Source organism: Homo sapiens, chromosome 4 (genome assembly GCF_000001405.40).
Source record: "Homo sapiens chromosome 4, GRCh38.p14 Primary Assembly".
NCBI lineage: Eukaryota > Metazoa > Chordata > Mammalia > Primates > Hominidae > Homo > Homo sapiens.
The window spans coordinates 153,840,128-153,855,966 of NC_000004.12; the positions used below are offsets into that span (position 1 = coordinate 153,840,128).

General features: G+C 40.0%; 1 long non-coding RNA gene across 1 annotated transcript in view; it reads left to right on the forward strand.

Moving 5' to 3' along the window:
* Window positions 1-15,839, forward strand: part of LOC101927947 (uncharacterized) — a 469,997-nt gene that overhangs the window by 11,305 nt on the left and 442,853 nt on the right. Inside the window, exons 2-3 of the long non-coding RNA XR_007058336.1 lie at window positions 30-200; window positions 2,006-2,140. This is a non-coding gene — a long non-coding RNA (uncharacterized LOC101927947). The remainder of the gene's footprint in view (window positions 1-29; window positions 201-2,005; window positions 2,141-15,839) is intronic.

A 15,839-nucleotide genomic window follows, 5' to 3' on the forward strand; every position in this document is an offset into this window, starting at 1 on the left:
CAATTTTTTTATTATTGTTTCTTTCCTAGCTTCTTCTGTTTCAGAGCTATGTTTCCCAGTGGGCTGCCACATCTTTGGGTTTCCAGTACTTGGAATTTTGCTTTCCAGTTGCAGAGCTAAGAAGCCAATTCACATTCCATCGTTGTCCCAAAGTCTTTTTCCTATTTTGAATGCCCCATCTTGTCTGGATTTATCAAGGGGTAAGAAGCATGTATTACTTTGGCCTGAAAAATTTCTTGCTGAGTCCCACTCCATTAGAAAACAATAATATTTGAAAGAAATCGGCCAGTCACAATTCCTAGGCCTGAACAGTTCAGACCATTTCAGAGAGAGTCTTTTTGTGATTGTTTCTCTTCACATAGTGACTGAAGCAATTCAGGCTTAAAACACACCCTGATCATTAGTTGTTATTACAGATGGTAGGACGAGCAATTATGCTGAACTGAATTTTTCCCATCTTATCTATTTCAGGTAAAAGAGTCAGTGTAGAGCATGAGCTCTTAGACGAGGTTTTCCAATGTTCCAAGGTTTTCCAACCCAGATGAAGTTTCTATCTGAGCTCCTGGCAAATCTTGAAGTTTTCCCTGTAATCCTGATAGGTTTCACCACAATTCTGATACATATTCCTTGGTTTAATTGTGTGCCATAGTCATAGAATTTTGGAAGCAGAAAGAAGCTTAAGGGTATCTAGTTAAATACCCTCCTCCGTATTCTACAGATGAGAACATGGAGTTTGAATGGGATCTTAGAGAAAAATGAACTGGGGTATTTTTTTGTTTACTTTTCCTCCCAAGGAAATAATCCTTATCTCAGTATTTTCTAAATTAGACCAGCCACATTTTTCTTGCCTTGACATTCTCATTTCCATTTGGACAGAGTAGGTTAGCCAAAATTTAGTGAAATGATAGACAATGATATTGCTATTTAATTCAGATTCTTTTCTTTCTTTCTTTTTTTTTTTTTGAGACGGAGTCTTGTTCTGTCGCCCAGGCCAGAGTGCAGTGGCGCGATCTTGGCTCACTGCAAGCTCTGCCTCCTGGGTTCATGCCATTCTCCTGCCTCAGCGTCCCGAGTAGCTGGGACTACAGGCGACCGCCACCACGGCTGGCTAATGTTTTGTATTTTTAGTAGAGACGGGGTTTCACCGTGTTAGCCAGGATGGTGTTGGCCTCCTGACCTCGTGATCTGCCCGCCTCGGCCTCCCAAAGTGCTGGGATTGCAGGCGAGAGCCACTGTGCCCGGCCTAATTCAGATTCTTTAGCACAAGAATTTATCCTAAGTAAAGGCAAAAGGTAACGTTATTGGCAGTATTCAGACTGCCCTTGACTAGTGCTGTCTATGTCACGTTCCTGATTTATTTCTTGAAAAGCAGTCATTTGGTGTAAATATGCCCAACCTCTCACCACTGAAAATGGCACCCCCATTTATTTTTGCTCCTTTTCTCTAAATAAATAAGTTTATCTATACAAGTGTACTACTTCCATGACAATATATTTTGTAACACCTTTATTGAGATATAAATCACATACCAAATGATTCACTCATTCACAGTGTATACGTCAATGGTTTTTAGTATATTCAAGAAGTTGTATAATCGTTACCACAATCAATTTTAGAACATTTTTATTACTTTCCACAGAAACCCTGCATCCTTCCATCACCACTCCTCAATACCCCCTCCTCCAACCACTAATCTACTTTCTGTTTTTATAGATTTGACTATTTTAGATAGTTCATAGAAAAGAAATAATACAATATATAGTCTTTTGTGACTGGCTTTTTTTCCCCACTCAGCATAATGCTTTCAAGGTTCATCCATGTTGTAGCATGTATTAGTACTTCATTCTTTTTCAAGGCCACTTAGTATTTCATTGTATAGATATACCACATTTTGTTTATCTATTTATCAGTTGATGAACATTTAAGCTATTTATACTTTTTCACTATTACATATAATGCTGCTATGAACATTTGTTTATAAGTTTTTCTTTTTTTTTTGAGACAGGGTCTTGCTCTGTTGCCCAGGCTGGAGTGCAGTGGTGCAATCATGGCTTACTGCAGCCTCAACCTCTTGGGCTCAAGCAATCCTTCCACGTCAGCAGGAGCTACATGTCATCCTCTCAAGTAGCTGGGACTATAGGTGTGTGCCACCACACCTGGATAATTTTTTATTTTATTTTGTAGAGATGGGGTCTTGCTCTAATGGCCAGGTTTATGTAAGGTTTTTTCTTTTGTGGATGTGTGTTTTATTGCTTTTGGGTAAATATGTAGAAGCAGAATTGCTGGGTCACATGGTAACTTTATGTTTAACTACCAGCCGGTTTTCCAAAGTGACTGTACCATTTTACATTCCCACTAGCAGTGTAAGAAGGTTTCAATTTTTCCACATCCTTGTCAATGCTTGTTATTATCTTTCTTTTTGATTATAGTCGTTCTAGTGGATGTGAAGTGGTATCTCATCGTGGTTTTGAATTGCAGTTCCCTGATTACTAATGATGTACCTTTTCATGTGTTTTTGCCATTTGCATATCTTTTTCAATGAAATATATGCAGATGATAATAATATCTTTAGGAAGAAAAAATGCATGTTATTGGTAATTCAGATAAAAAGACTGGGAGCAAGGATTGTTAATAGGAGATTAACATTTGACTAGAGAAATCCAAGGAAAAGATTTAATTCTGTGTGGTTGTTATAGCTTTCGTGTATTGAAAAAAAGACATTAGAGGAAACAGGGATGTGTGTATAATAATATATGCATACATGTACACACCTCATATATACAAATAAATGTACAATTATATATTGAAAACATATATATATATATACATATAAAATATATATATATTTTCTCTTCACTGCCTGGGATTCACATTTGGAATCCATACATATATCTGTATCTATATGCATATCTACATATTAGATTTATATATTCCCTACCTTCCAAAAAGTGACCTGAGGCAATAAAAGAGGAATTTAAATTCATCCATCGGTTCAGTCAGCACTAGCTGTATCCTAAGAATCATGCTCAGTTCATAGGATATACTAAATGAATATGACAGGCTAAATAACTTTTAGACAAGTAACCAAAAACATATTATAGCACACATGTCGCCTTAAACTTTATATTCTACTACTGGTGGACTGCAGAATCCTGAAGTAGATGGAGTCACCTTGATTTGTCCAGTTGCATTCAGCCCGCACAATGGATGCATCAGGAAGTCTTACTGATTTTTGTTTTGAAATATAATTTCATTTTTATTACTGTAACCCTAGATTAGGCATTTGTTACTTTGTGCTTGTAATATTGCTTTGGTTGGCCTCAGAAGTCTAGTCTCTGTACTTCATTTTATTCCAAAGACACAACAAGACTAATCTTATAAAACAAAACCAAGCTTAGCTTTTATTGTTTCATCCTTTTTGGTCAAAAATATTAATGACTCCCTTTTTCTTATTTCATAGTCTAAATGTTCTGCATGTTTAAAGTTCTCTGTCACCTTGCCTCTCCTTGCATCCATTAGTCTATTCATTAATTCATTCAATATATATTTTTGGGTACCTACTTTGTGCCAAGCACTATGCCAGGGTTGAGACTATTTCATTGAACAAGGTCCCTGCCCTCACAGAACTCGCCATCTACTGGGGAGCCTGGAAGGTCAGTCGAGGAATAGACAAGGATGAGAGAAGGAAGCTCAGATCACAGTAGGAGTGAGCTTAGAGGATGGGTGTTATGACCTCCCTTGGGAGTTGAGGATGAGAGACTTCTTGGTGGAAGTGGCAGAATGTGAATCCCAGCAAATGAAGAGAAGAATAACATTATTCCTCTGTGTAGTAGAGGACTGGAGGTGAGAATGAGCCTGCTTACTTGCTAATGGGAGTGAGAAGTTAAGACAGTACAAGAAGGAGAGGAGAATGGTCAATCAGTAGGCAAGGTCCCTGAGAAGTGGGTGGCATGGAAGGAAGAGGGAGGGATGAAAGGATGGGGTGCTAATTTAATTGGGTTGGTGATGGGAAGTGAAGGCAGGTATTCTCTTTTTGTATGGCTCTTACTTTTTCTGTGAAGCAGAAGTTGAGGGCCTCAGCTTCAGCTGGGAGGTGGGGGTTAGAAGAAGGAGGCCCGAGGATAATGAGGATGTAGAATAGCTGCTGTGTTATGAGAGGAACAGCACTGTAGGGTGCTAGAGACTGACAACAGTGGTCCACGCTGTGCTGGTGAGCACGGGCTCTGAGGTAAGACATGCCTGGGCTCAGTCCCTGTGAGGCCCTATTCTGACACCATGTGTGTTAATGTGGGCAAGGATATAATGTCTCTGATCATCAGTTTCTTCCAAGAATGGGGATAATGAGTACACTGAGTTGTTCATGGGGTAGTTGTGAGCTTAGATAACACATGTAAAGCATTTAGTACAGTGTCTGGTAGGTAGTAAGCACTTAATAAATATTCTTCTTCTTCTTATTGTTGTTGTTGTCATTTTTATTGCTATTGTATTAACTTATGAGTTCAGTCCCTAGCAGTGCTAAGCAGCACAGATGTGGCATGCAGAAGGTAGAGAGTTTTTTGTACACAGAGCTGGGCTTTTCCAGGCCAGAGGTGATGGAAGGCCAGGTGGGCAAATGAGTTGATGATATTGCAAGGAGAGTGGTCAGATGACAGAGTCCAAGCTGGATGTATAATATGACAGATGGGGCTGATTGATAGGTGTGTCAGGAGTAATTCAGTGAGAGACCTAGGGCAGGAGATTGTGAGAAGACATCAGGAAGTTTGAATGGAATATTTCAGAGATGGAGTGATCATAGATAAGATATTTACTCTACATCAGTATGACTAACTACTCAAGATGATCAGACTTGATAAACTGTCTAGTAAAATCTTTCATTACCTCTGAACCCCTAAGGTGCAGTCATGTGAAGGAACCGAGAGGCTAGGATGGAGTTTTGAGATTCCCACAGTGTGGGAGCATTTGCAGGTTGGGATGAAGACAGTAAGTGGGTTCTATCATGTTAAATGAAAGCGAGGAGTGACTGGGACATATGGCAGATAAAGATGAGGGGGATGAAGAAGAGTAGGGTTTTCCCAGAAAGTAGGAAGAGGAATGATCTGGAAGAAGTATTAGGGAATAAGAAAGATAGCTGCACCCTTGAAGGCTGTGGAAGAATATGAGGCCTCCACTTGGGAGTGGGAGCAAGTCCTCAACGACTCGCAGGATTCTCCTAAGGCAGGGAGGTCAAGGACAGAGAGCAGCTGTGGTCCCTAGGTGAAGATTGAGGGTATGGCGGAAGCTGAGTTAACGAAGAAGCGCAGCACACAGCAGTGGGAGGGAAGAAGGGCCAGTGGGTGCTCCTCCAACTGGATTTCGCTTTCTTCTTTGGAGGTTTCTGTGTACAAATTAGTGGTGATTCAAGAGGTCAAAAAGCTGTGCTGAGGCAGGGGGTTCGCATTGTTTATTGTCATCTTCGTGTTCAACTGTAACAATATTTGTACTGTAAGAGATAAGATGATCTTATAAGAGCTTCTTAAAAGATAAGAAGCATTTGTCCTTAAATTCTAAATTATTAAAGTTGCATTTGGTTTGACATTTTTTTCATTTTAAAAAATTATTTTTGCTAATAATTAATGAAGTTTTAGCTAAAATCTGCCAGAGGAGAGAAATTGATGTCAGCTCTTCTAGAAGTGCTTATGATGATTTTGTTTTGCATCTAAGCATTCCGTGTATTTTCATAGTTCATAAAAAAGAATTTTATTGGTTATTGCATGCATTCTCTATCAGATGAGAAAAATAAAAAGAGAGTGAATTAACAAACTTACTTGCTCACTTTAAATTTTTGAATAAAATCTTTTTCTTTTCTATATGCCTTATTCTCATGAAAGAAATCATAATCATTTTATTTTTTCTGTTTATCAATATGATACATGGTCAGTGTAGAACATTTTTAAAACATCTACAAGGTAGAACATAAAAGAATAAAGTATATACTCCTTCAGCTCCCACGACTCAAAGGGGAAAAACATTGCTAACCCCTTTTAAAGAATGACCTATAAAAAAATGGTGGTGTGTAACTCAAATTATGGAGAAAGGTTAATGATACATGGTTTAAGGTTTCTCTGCGATTGAGTATTATTGTCCTTTTTTTGGCCTTTAAAACTTGGTCTTTGCATCGTGTAAGTGCAGCAAAAGTGTGCATACTTCCCAGTGGAAATGAATCCACCAGGAGGCCTCTGTGGACTTGTTGCTAGTCCAGCCATGGGAGGGCATCTGTTTAAGCGTTGGACAACCTAATAGGAAGGTCTTTTTTATATGGCTTGTGCTTGTTAGAAAACATTTACTTGTGGTCAGATTTATGGTTAACAAAACAAAACAAAACAACCTAATGAATACCACTAGCTCAACATCCAGAATCTCTTAGTGTAGGGACTGTATTTGAGGAACCAATCTGGGACATTTCAGACTCAGAAGAATACTATTCAATACCTTATTTCTGCAGGGCACTAAACATTAGCAGGATTGAACATATTGGTTTCCTTTCATTGAAAAATGACTTGAATGTTTTCAAAGGATGTCTAACAAAAATCAAGAAGTCCAGTGACTGCTAGTGCTATTGGGACTGGGACATAAGAACCCTGCCCAATTCATGAGAGCCCCTCAGTGGCTGCTAGGAGACAGCTCTGGGAAATATATTCCTCAATGGGATTTGGTAGACTGGAGGTGTGCTATCTTATTTTGAACTGTGATCCCTTGGGACACTTGATCTCCCATGTCAATTTATGACAAAGTTATCTGTCTATGGGGCAGAAAGGAGATGATCAGAAAAGGTCGGAGGAGAGTATGGAATAGCTCTGTGGTCAGTTATTCCAAAGCTAGGCTACAGGTGGGTGAAGTAGTGGATGGCATGAACTGGGGACATGGGCAGGATGAAGATGAACTTACCTGGAATTATGCGTTCCATGGGCCTGCACAAATACCCCGATCCCCTTTTATAGATGTAGAAATCACCTGCTAAGATTCACCTACTTTCCTGGAGACACAGAACTGAATGGGGGAAGGAGCTTGGGTTTACATGTCAGGCAAGTATCATCCTAATGCTGGTCCTATAAACTACTCAATCTTAGAGGCAGGAGAGAGTCACTAGCACTCTCTTTTCCCTGAAAAATGAAAAGATCAAAAATATATGGCTGTTGCCACAGATTGGTCCCTGTGCAATGCTGCAACAGTCTCCTTGAAGCTTTTGTCCACGTTCCTAGCTGCAAAGGCCATGTATGTAAGTTCTGTGAGGGCAAGGTCATGTCTATTGGGTCCACAGGTGTATCTCCAGGGCCTGGCACAGTGCATGCTCAATAAATATTTCTTGATAAAGAGAGTGAAGGTGGGAATAGTCAGAGTAATAGAGGTAGAAAGTAGAATAGTGGTTACCAGGGGCTGGAGGAGGCGGTAATGGGGAGTTATTGATGAACAAATCCAGAACTTCAGTTTGGGATGATGAAAAGTTCTGGAGATGGACAGGGGTGGTAGTTGCACAACAATGTGAATGTAGGAACTTAAAGACACTGAACTGCACACGCAGAAATGGTTAAAATGATAAATTTTATGTCATGCATATTTTAAACCCCCCACCCCCAGACAAGATGGATGTGTCTCTGTGGAAATAACATTTCCTGGCTGAGTAAGATTTCATTATTTTCTTACTTGCAGCTTATGTAAACAAACCAAAACATTTTGTCATCAACAACTGTAGTACATGTTTTCATAAGATTTTATATTTTCTACATTAGTGGACTCACTTTAGCCATACTTTCTTCTGAGAGGTAGGCAGGGCAGGGTGGGTATTAACTGTCTCTAAAGCTTGGGGATTGTTCACATAGCAAGTTAAGAGCATTATTTGACTTAGAAATGGGATTAGTTTCCTAGGGCTTTTGGAGAATGTACATAATTTTACACAATAAGCAGGAAGAGGTAACGTGAAGGTCTTGGATGAGAAGTGCCACGATGTTCTGGAGTAAGGATTTCAATTTGGTGGTAAAGAGAACACTTGCCTGCTCAGTGTTGATCTAAGGTTGACTGAGTAGAGCATCTTTTATGATGTTTTGCTCAAGGGAAACGAGACTGGTTCTGATCTCTGTTGGCCTGAGGAGGCTTCTACTCTTTTCTACGACCTCTATTCCTTTTTTTCTGTAGTTCTTCAGGGCATTGCCTATTCCTTGTGCCGCCTGAGGCAGCAGACAATGTTTAAGTTTTATTTAACTGCTGTTGCTTTTCTGCTTTCCCATTTATGTCAGAGATGATTATGGTTCAGAGAATCTCCATGTTCCCTCACATTTCCTAGCCTTTTGTAGCTAGGCAGGGCTATGAGATAACTGGCCAATGGGCAGAGCAGAAGCAATGCTTGTCATTTTCAGACTCAAGCATTTAAGGATCCATGTGAAGCCCTCCAGCTCCTTCTTCCACTGCTGTAGTGATTTGGAAAGTGTTGATATGTGAAGCATCTGTCAGTGTTGGTCCCTGAGTCACCGTGTGGAGCAGATCCTCCCTCCCCTCACCTTAGCCCTCTCCCACTGTGCAAGCATGCGTGAGAAACATATCCTTGGTATATTAAAATTCTGAGATCTCAGGGTCAATTTGTTAATGCCTATCTTGACTCACCCCCTGTTAGACAGACTCACCCCCTATTCTCCTTGAGAGCAGGAGTTATATGCATGTACTTCTAAAAATCTTTGTATCCTGGGTACCTCACACATGTGGGGTAGTGTTTTCCATGTGGTAGATGCTGAGTACATGCTTACTGAATGAATAAATGCGTGAAAAGATAACTGAATGCATTCATAATTGGCCATGATAGGTATTCACATTGAACACAACATGAGCTGTCTTATCTACTTCTGGGTGTTGATAGCCACGTAGAGTCCTCAGAGTCTCCTTTGTCTATGACCTCCCTTCTTAGACTTGTTCTCATCTGTGAGGGTGCAGAGTGCTGACTGACTCATGTGGCATGCTGGGAAAGAAAAGCATAGAAAACACTTGACATTATGTTTTGCTACTACCCCTGCTCAGCCAATCCTCTGAGCCTCAGCTATCTTCATTTTATAATTCTGCCCCTGAACTGGGATTGAGACAAACCATTTGCTTCTATTTGACATTTTCCTCTGCTTTAAAAAATGGGGAACAAATAATTATAATTTTGACAGCTGGCTTCTTATACTGTGCCATGCACTGTAATAAGTGCTTTACTTGAATTATTTTGTTTAATTTTCATGACACTCGGTGAGATAACTACTATTAGAACCCCAGTTTAGAGGGGAGGAAACTGAGGCCCCTGAGCTGGACTTGCCTTAGGTCTCATGGCAAGGGGAGCAGAGTAGCAGAGCTGGAATCTTTGTCACGGGCTCTCTGGGGTCAAGGCTGATATTCCTAAACATTAAACTGTTCTCCAATGCCATGTCCCTATTTGCAACTTTTCCAGAGCTTCCCTGCTGCAGGACTCAGTCTCTGGACTCCACACCTCCAACAACCTGGCCCCCAGGCACTTCACGGCCACATGGCTCACAGCCCCACATCTTCTGGCTTCTTTATTAAAGTGATTCTTTCACACAGTTCTTGCTGGACACTGTGCTAACTGCCTGGCCAGCTGATCTGTCCCCGAGTCTTCAGACTGGGCAGTCCCCCTACCTGCTGCTCTGTGAAATCTTTCCCTCCCCTGGTTAGATTCCCTCAGATGTCTCAGTTATTTCCAGGCATTAGCCATTGAGAGGATCGTGCTTCAAGGCAGATTTTCTGGCCTCCTCCTCACCTGTGTGCACTGAGCTCTTAGGTCTCCCTCGTTCATTTGATGGACAGCTGTCAGATCACATTGCTTGGCTTGTGTCTAAAGTGATATTTTTCTCATTGCTAGAGGATTTCATATAGTCATCTTTGAATATTCTTAAGACTTGGACACCTCCTCCGCAGACATGCATATAATGGTTGCTGAGGATACCTCCTGCTGCTTTTAAGATGTTAGAGTCAAGAGAAACCCAAAGTGAAGCTTTTATTTATTATTTTCTGAACACTCTACATCAATTTATTCTTACTTTTTTATATTGAGGTATAACAGTAAGTGGACATGTCTTCAGGCACAGTTTTCAGTAAGACCTAGTTTAGGGAGTTGAGTTTTTAGAAGTGAATTCCCTTAAAATCTCCCTGAATCCATGGTCTCCATGGTAAGTCTTCACGATCTGAAAAGAAAAGTCCTGTTTCCCTTCTGACTTTATATAACATGTATTAAATGATTTTTCTGTTTTTTTTTTTTTTTAAGTAATACATGCTCACTGTAGAAAATGCAGAGAAGTTATGTAGAGCTCTTTGTCCAAGTCTGGTGGGTTTTTTCTGAAATTTTAAATTAAGGTCTCTGTACATAAATCTCTGTTCTTCATTTAAATCAGCTGACACTAAACTGACTTTAAAGTCAGACCACTAGATCTTGGATTCAAGGCAGCAACTGAGGCCCCTCTTTGGGTTGAATTATGCATTGTAGGCTATTCAGAAGAAGGTCAAAAGTGCAAGCCCGAGGAGATAGGGAGGCCCCCAAAGGAGGGTGATTGTGCTGCCCCAGATAGCTCTCACCCTGAGCAGCACCATCTCCAGAAATAACATGTGTGGGTGAAAGCAATCAACAGCACTCAGAGCTGGAATTCCAGACAGCCACAAACATATCAACCTAAATGTAAAGTGGCACTGCTAACAGTCCATCTATAATTACATCTTATTTTATTAGTTGCAAAGGGTAATTGTATCCAGAAAATTCCTAATGCAAATACATGCTACAGAGATAATGTATATGTTGCTCTGAGAAAACAATGTGGTAGAGAAGTTTCAATAATGCTAAGTGATTTTCTAGCACTCATCACTGATTAAGCGCCATCTGGACTGTAGGAAAACAGGGGAAGGGGAGTTGCCAGAAGTCAGGATGTCTGAATTCTCTCTGGACTCTCAAATCTTTTAATCTCTCAACTTTTTGCCCTTAAGTGTCCTGAGGGAGGGGAATGGCTTTGGAACACACCAGGCAAGCAGTTACATTCTTGGGACTGGATGCTCAGGCAGCTGGTTTTGGTAGAGCTGAGGTTTAGGTCAACCCTGATGCATGCACCATTGGCAAAGTGATAATCATAACATGCCCTTTCAAGACAGCCTATGCAGCTCTGAAGGGATGTTGAATGCCATGCCTTTCTTCATCTAAGCTATATGAGTACGGATCTAATGATTAATATAACTGTTTTAAGCACTGGCTTTTAGGAGCTAAGAGATGTTAGAGATCAAACACTATATCTGTGAATGTTAGAATTGTATTAGGATTGAGCTGCAATAGTCCTATTACTGAGGTAGATATGAAATAGAGAGCAGAGAGCATAGTACTTTACAAAGAGATGCTCAGAAAATGTTATTGTTAATAATGAAATTATCCAGAAACTCAAATTACTCATATGCCTAGTAGAAAACTCATAATCCGCTTTCAAATGGTTTTCAAATACAATGGCAGTTTTCACTATCATAGTTTCTGTTTTTATTTATTTATTTTGTCATATTAGACATCCTAAAAATAGATTATGTGTTTTTAAGGCTGTTTTTAAGAAACGATTGCCTATATTTAGAGCCAATGAGGCAATAATTTGAAATAGTTAAAATTACCTTCTTGAATACATCTGACAACAATTACAAAGAAATTGTAAAGAAATTACCTGTTGTGTGCATCAATTGATCAGTGCAATATGTTTAGTTTCCACTGGAATCTGTCTGAAGAGTTACTATAGGATGAGTGAGGCAAGGCACTTGAGTTGGGAGGAAGGCATGCATGGAATTAATATGTTCCTTTTCACTGTTTTTTGGAGATGCTAAAGACCTCTTCTTCTTTCCCTTACTATGTTCAGTCATTTGATAATGAAAGAGAGTGTGTGGAGGAAAGGGAAAAGAAGGAGAGTGCCAGAGGGCATAAGCAAGGTCCGTCTTCACCATGGGAGCTGAAATATGGGCATTCCATGCCTGCCATATGTCTGTTCCTTGCATTTTGGAGAGGGGCTCAGTGAGGGGCCTAGAGATTCTCATGGGCCTAAGAGGAATACCTTCAGCCAATTCAGATGTTTCTAGATACACAAGGAAGGATGTAGGGGTGAGCCTCTTTAAGGATTCTAGCAGCTTAATGGGAAAGAAAAATGCTTGGCTCTTTTGCGCATTAGGATGGGCAGCTAGTCCCAGCACCAATGCCTTTCAGCCATTGATAAGGGTTGAACTTCCATGTTGTGACTTGGAAGCCAGGAGCCACATGGTGAAGGGGTGACAGCAGGTGGGAGGTTCCCAGGGACCATTCTTCGAGCCCAGACTTGAGAGACAGATACCCATGTGTTGGAATTTCTGCAGAGCAATTCTAATTTGCCTTCTATGTATGTATGTATATCATAGGTGTGCATATATATGTAGTATATCATAGGTGTGCATATGTATGTATGTAATCAACATGGGCTAGGGAATGACTGCAATGTGTGAGTGACCATGTGGGAAGGCAGCCCTTGTTTAGTGTGAGATGACCACTAGGACTCACCCTTTTCTCCTGCTAATACTGATTTCATCACCGTGTCTCTCCTTCTTGCCAACATAGATAGATCATCATGCCTGGGACTGTTTTCCTCCAACCTCACTCCTTATTTTCCATTTTACCTCTCTGCTGGTTCAGAGTGGAATTTGTGATTGCAGAACTCTGGGAAGAGGCAGAAGTAGGGATAGCAGCTTTCTAAATGTACAGTGACATGCCTAATAGCACATCTATAATCACGTTTTATTAGTTGTAGAGGGCAATTGCATCCAGAGTGGCTTTTTTCCTAGCCACGCTGAAATGCTGCCTCTGTGTGATGTTGTCACAAATGGATGACTAAAGGACTTTGGGGGCACGCTTATCTTATTCTTGCCTTATTATTCTTTTTTATTTTATTTTATTTTTATTGTTTTATTTCAATAGGTTTTTGGAGAACAGGTGGTGTTTGGTTACATGAGTAAGTTCTTTAGTGGTGATTTCTGAGATTTTGGTGTACCCATCACCTGAGCAGTGTACACTGTATCCATTGTGTAGTCTTTTATCCCTCACCCTTCCCACTCTTTCCCCTGAGTCCCCAAAGTCCATTGTATTATTCTTATGCCATTGCATCCTCATAGCTTAGCTCCCACTTCTAAGTGAGAACATACAATGTTTGGTTTTACATTCCTGAGTTACTTCACTTAGAATAATGGTCTCCAGTTCCATTCAGTTCTCTGCGAATGCCATTATTTCATTCCTTTTCATGGCTGAATAGTATTCCATGACACACACACACACACACACACACACACACACACACATCCCTATATATCTATATCTATATCTATATCTATATCTACCACATTTTCTTTTTTTTTTTTTGAGATGGAGTTTCACTCTGTCACCCAGGCTGGAGTACAGTGGCACGAACTCGGCTCACTGCAACCTCCACCCTCCAGGTTCAAATGATTCTCCTTCTTCAGCCTCCTGAGTAGCTGGGACTACAGGCGCCTGCCATAGTGCCCAGCTAATTTTTTGTATTTTTAGTAGAGATGGGGTTTCACCATCTTGGCCAGGCTGGTCTTGAACTCCTGACCTCGTGATCCACCCACCTCGGCCTCCCAAAGTGCTGGGATTACAGGCGTGAGCCACCGCGCCCAGCCTACCACATTTTCTTTATTCACTCATTGATTGATTGGCATTTCGGCTGGTTCCATATTTTTGCAATTGCTAATTGTGCTGCTATATACATGTGTGTGTAGGTATCTTTTTCATATAATGACTTCCATTCCTCTGGGTAGATACCCAGGAGTGGGATTGCTGGATCAAATGGTAGATCTACTTTTAGTTCTTTAAGGAATTTCCACACTGTTTTCCATAGTGGTTGTACTAGTTTACATTTTCACCAACAGTGTAAAAGTGTTCCCATTTCACCACATCCACTCCGACATCTATTGTTTTTCGATTTTTTTGATTATGGCCGTTTTGCAGGAGTGAGGTGGTATCACATTGTGGCTTTAATTTGCATTTCCCTGATAATTAGTAATGTTGAGCATTTTTCATATGTTTGTTGCCTATTTGTATATTTTCTTTTGAGAATTGTCTATTCATGTCATTAGTCCACTTTTTGATGGGATTGTCTTCCACAATGGTTGAACTAATTTACACTCCCACTAACAGTGTAAAAGTGTTCCAATTTCTCCACATCCTCTCCAGCATCTGTTGTTTCCTGACTTTTTAATGACCGCCATTCTAACTGGTGTGAGATAGTATCTCATTGTGGTTTTGATTTGCATTTCTCTAATGACCATTGATGATGAGCTTTTTTTCATATGTTTTTTGGCTGTATAAATGTCTTCTTTTAAGAAGTGTCTGTTCATATCCTTCACCCACTTTTTGGTGGGGTTGTTTGATTTTTTCTTGTAAATTTGTTTAAGTTCTTTATAGATTCTGGATATTAGCCCTTTGTCAGATGGATAGATTGCAAATTTTTTCTCCCATCCTGTATGTTGCCTGTTTACTCTGATGATAGTTTCTTTTGTTGTGAAGAAGTTCTTTAGTTTAATTAGATCCCATTTGTCTATTTTGGCTTCTGTTGCCATTGCTTTTGGTGTTTTAGCCGTGAAGTCTTTGCCCATGCCTATGTCTTGAGTGGTATTGCCTAGGTTTTCTTCTAGGGTTTTTATGGTTTTACGTCTTACATTTAAGTCTTTAATCCATCTTGAGTTAATTTTTGTATAACGTGTAAGGAAGGAGTCTAGTTTCAGTTTTCTGCATATGGGTAGCCAGTTTTCCCAACACCATTTATTAAATAGGGAATCCTTTCCCCAGTGCTTGTTTTTGTCAGGTTTGTCAAAGATCTGATGCTTGTAGATGTGTGGCATCATTTATGAGGCTTCTGTTCTGTTCCATTGGTCTATATATCTGTTTTGGTACCAGTACCATGCTGTTTTGGTTACTGTAGCCTTGTAGTATAGTTTGAAGTCAGGTAGCTTGATGCCTCCAGCTTTGTTCTTTTTGCTTAGGATTGTCTTGGCTACACAGGCTCTTTTTTGGTTCCATATGAAATTTCAAGTAGATTTTTCTCATTCTGTGAAGAAAGTCAATGGTAGCTTGATGGGGATAGCATTGAATCTATAAATTACTCTGGGCAGTATGGCCATTTTCATGATATCGATTCTTCCTTTCCATGAGCATGGAATGTTTTTCCATTTTTTTGTTTCCTCTCTGGTTTCCTTGAGCAATAGTTTGTAGTTTTCCTTGAAGAGATCCTTCACATCCCTTGTAAGTTGTATTCCTAGGTGTTTTATTCTCTTTGTAGCAATTGTGAATGGGAGTTCACACATGATTTGGTTCTGTTTTTCTGTTGTTGGTGTGTAGGAATGCTTTTTGCACATTGATTTTGTATCCTGAGACTTTGCTGAAGGTGCCTATCAGCTTAAGGAGATTTTGGGCTGAGACAATGGGGTCTTCTAAATATACAATCATGTCATCTGCAAACAGAGACAATTTGACTTCCTCTCTTCCTCTTTGAATATCCTTTATTTCTTTATCTTGCCTGATTGCCCTGGCCAAAACTTCCAATACTATGTTGAATAGGAGTGGTAAGAGAGGGCATCATTGTCTTGTGCCAGTTTTCAAAGGGAATGCATCCCATTTTTGCCCATTCAGTATGATATTGGCTGTGGGTTTGTCATAAATAGCTTTTATTATTTTGAGATACTTTCCATCAATACCTAGTTTATTGAGAGTTTTTAGCATGAAGGGCTGTTGAATTTTATCGAAGGCCTTTTCTGCATCTATTGAGATA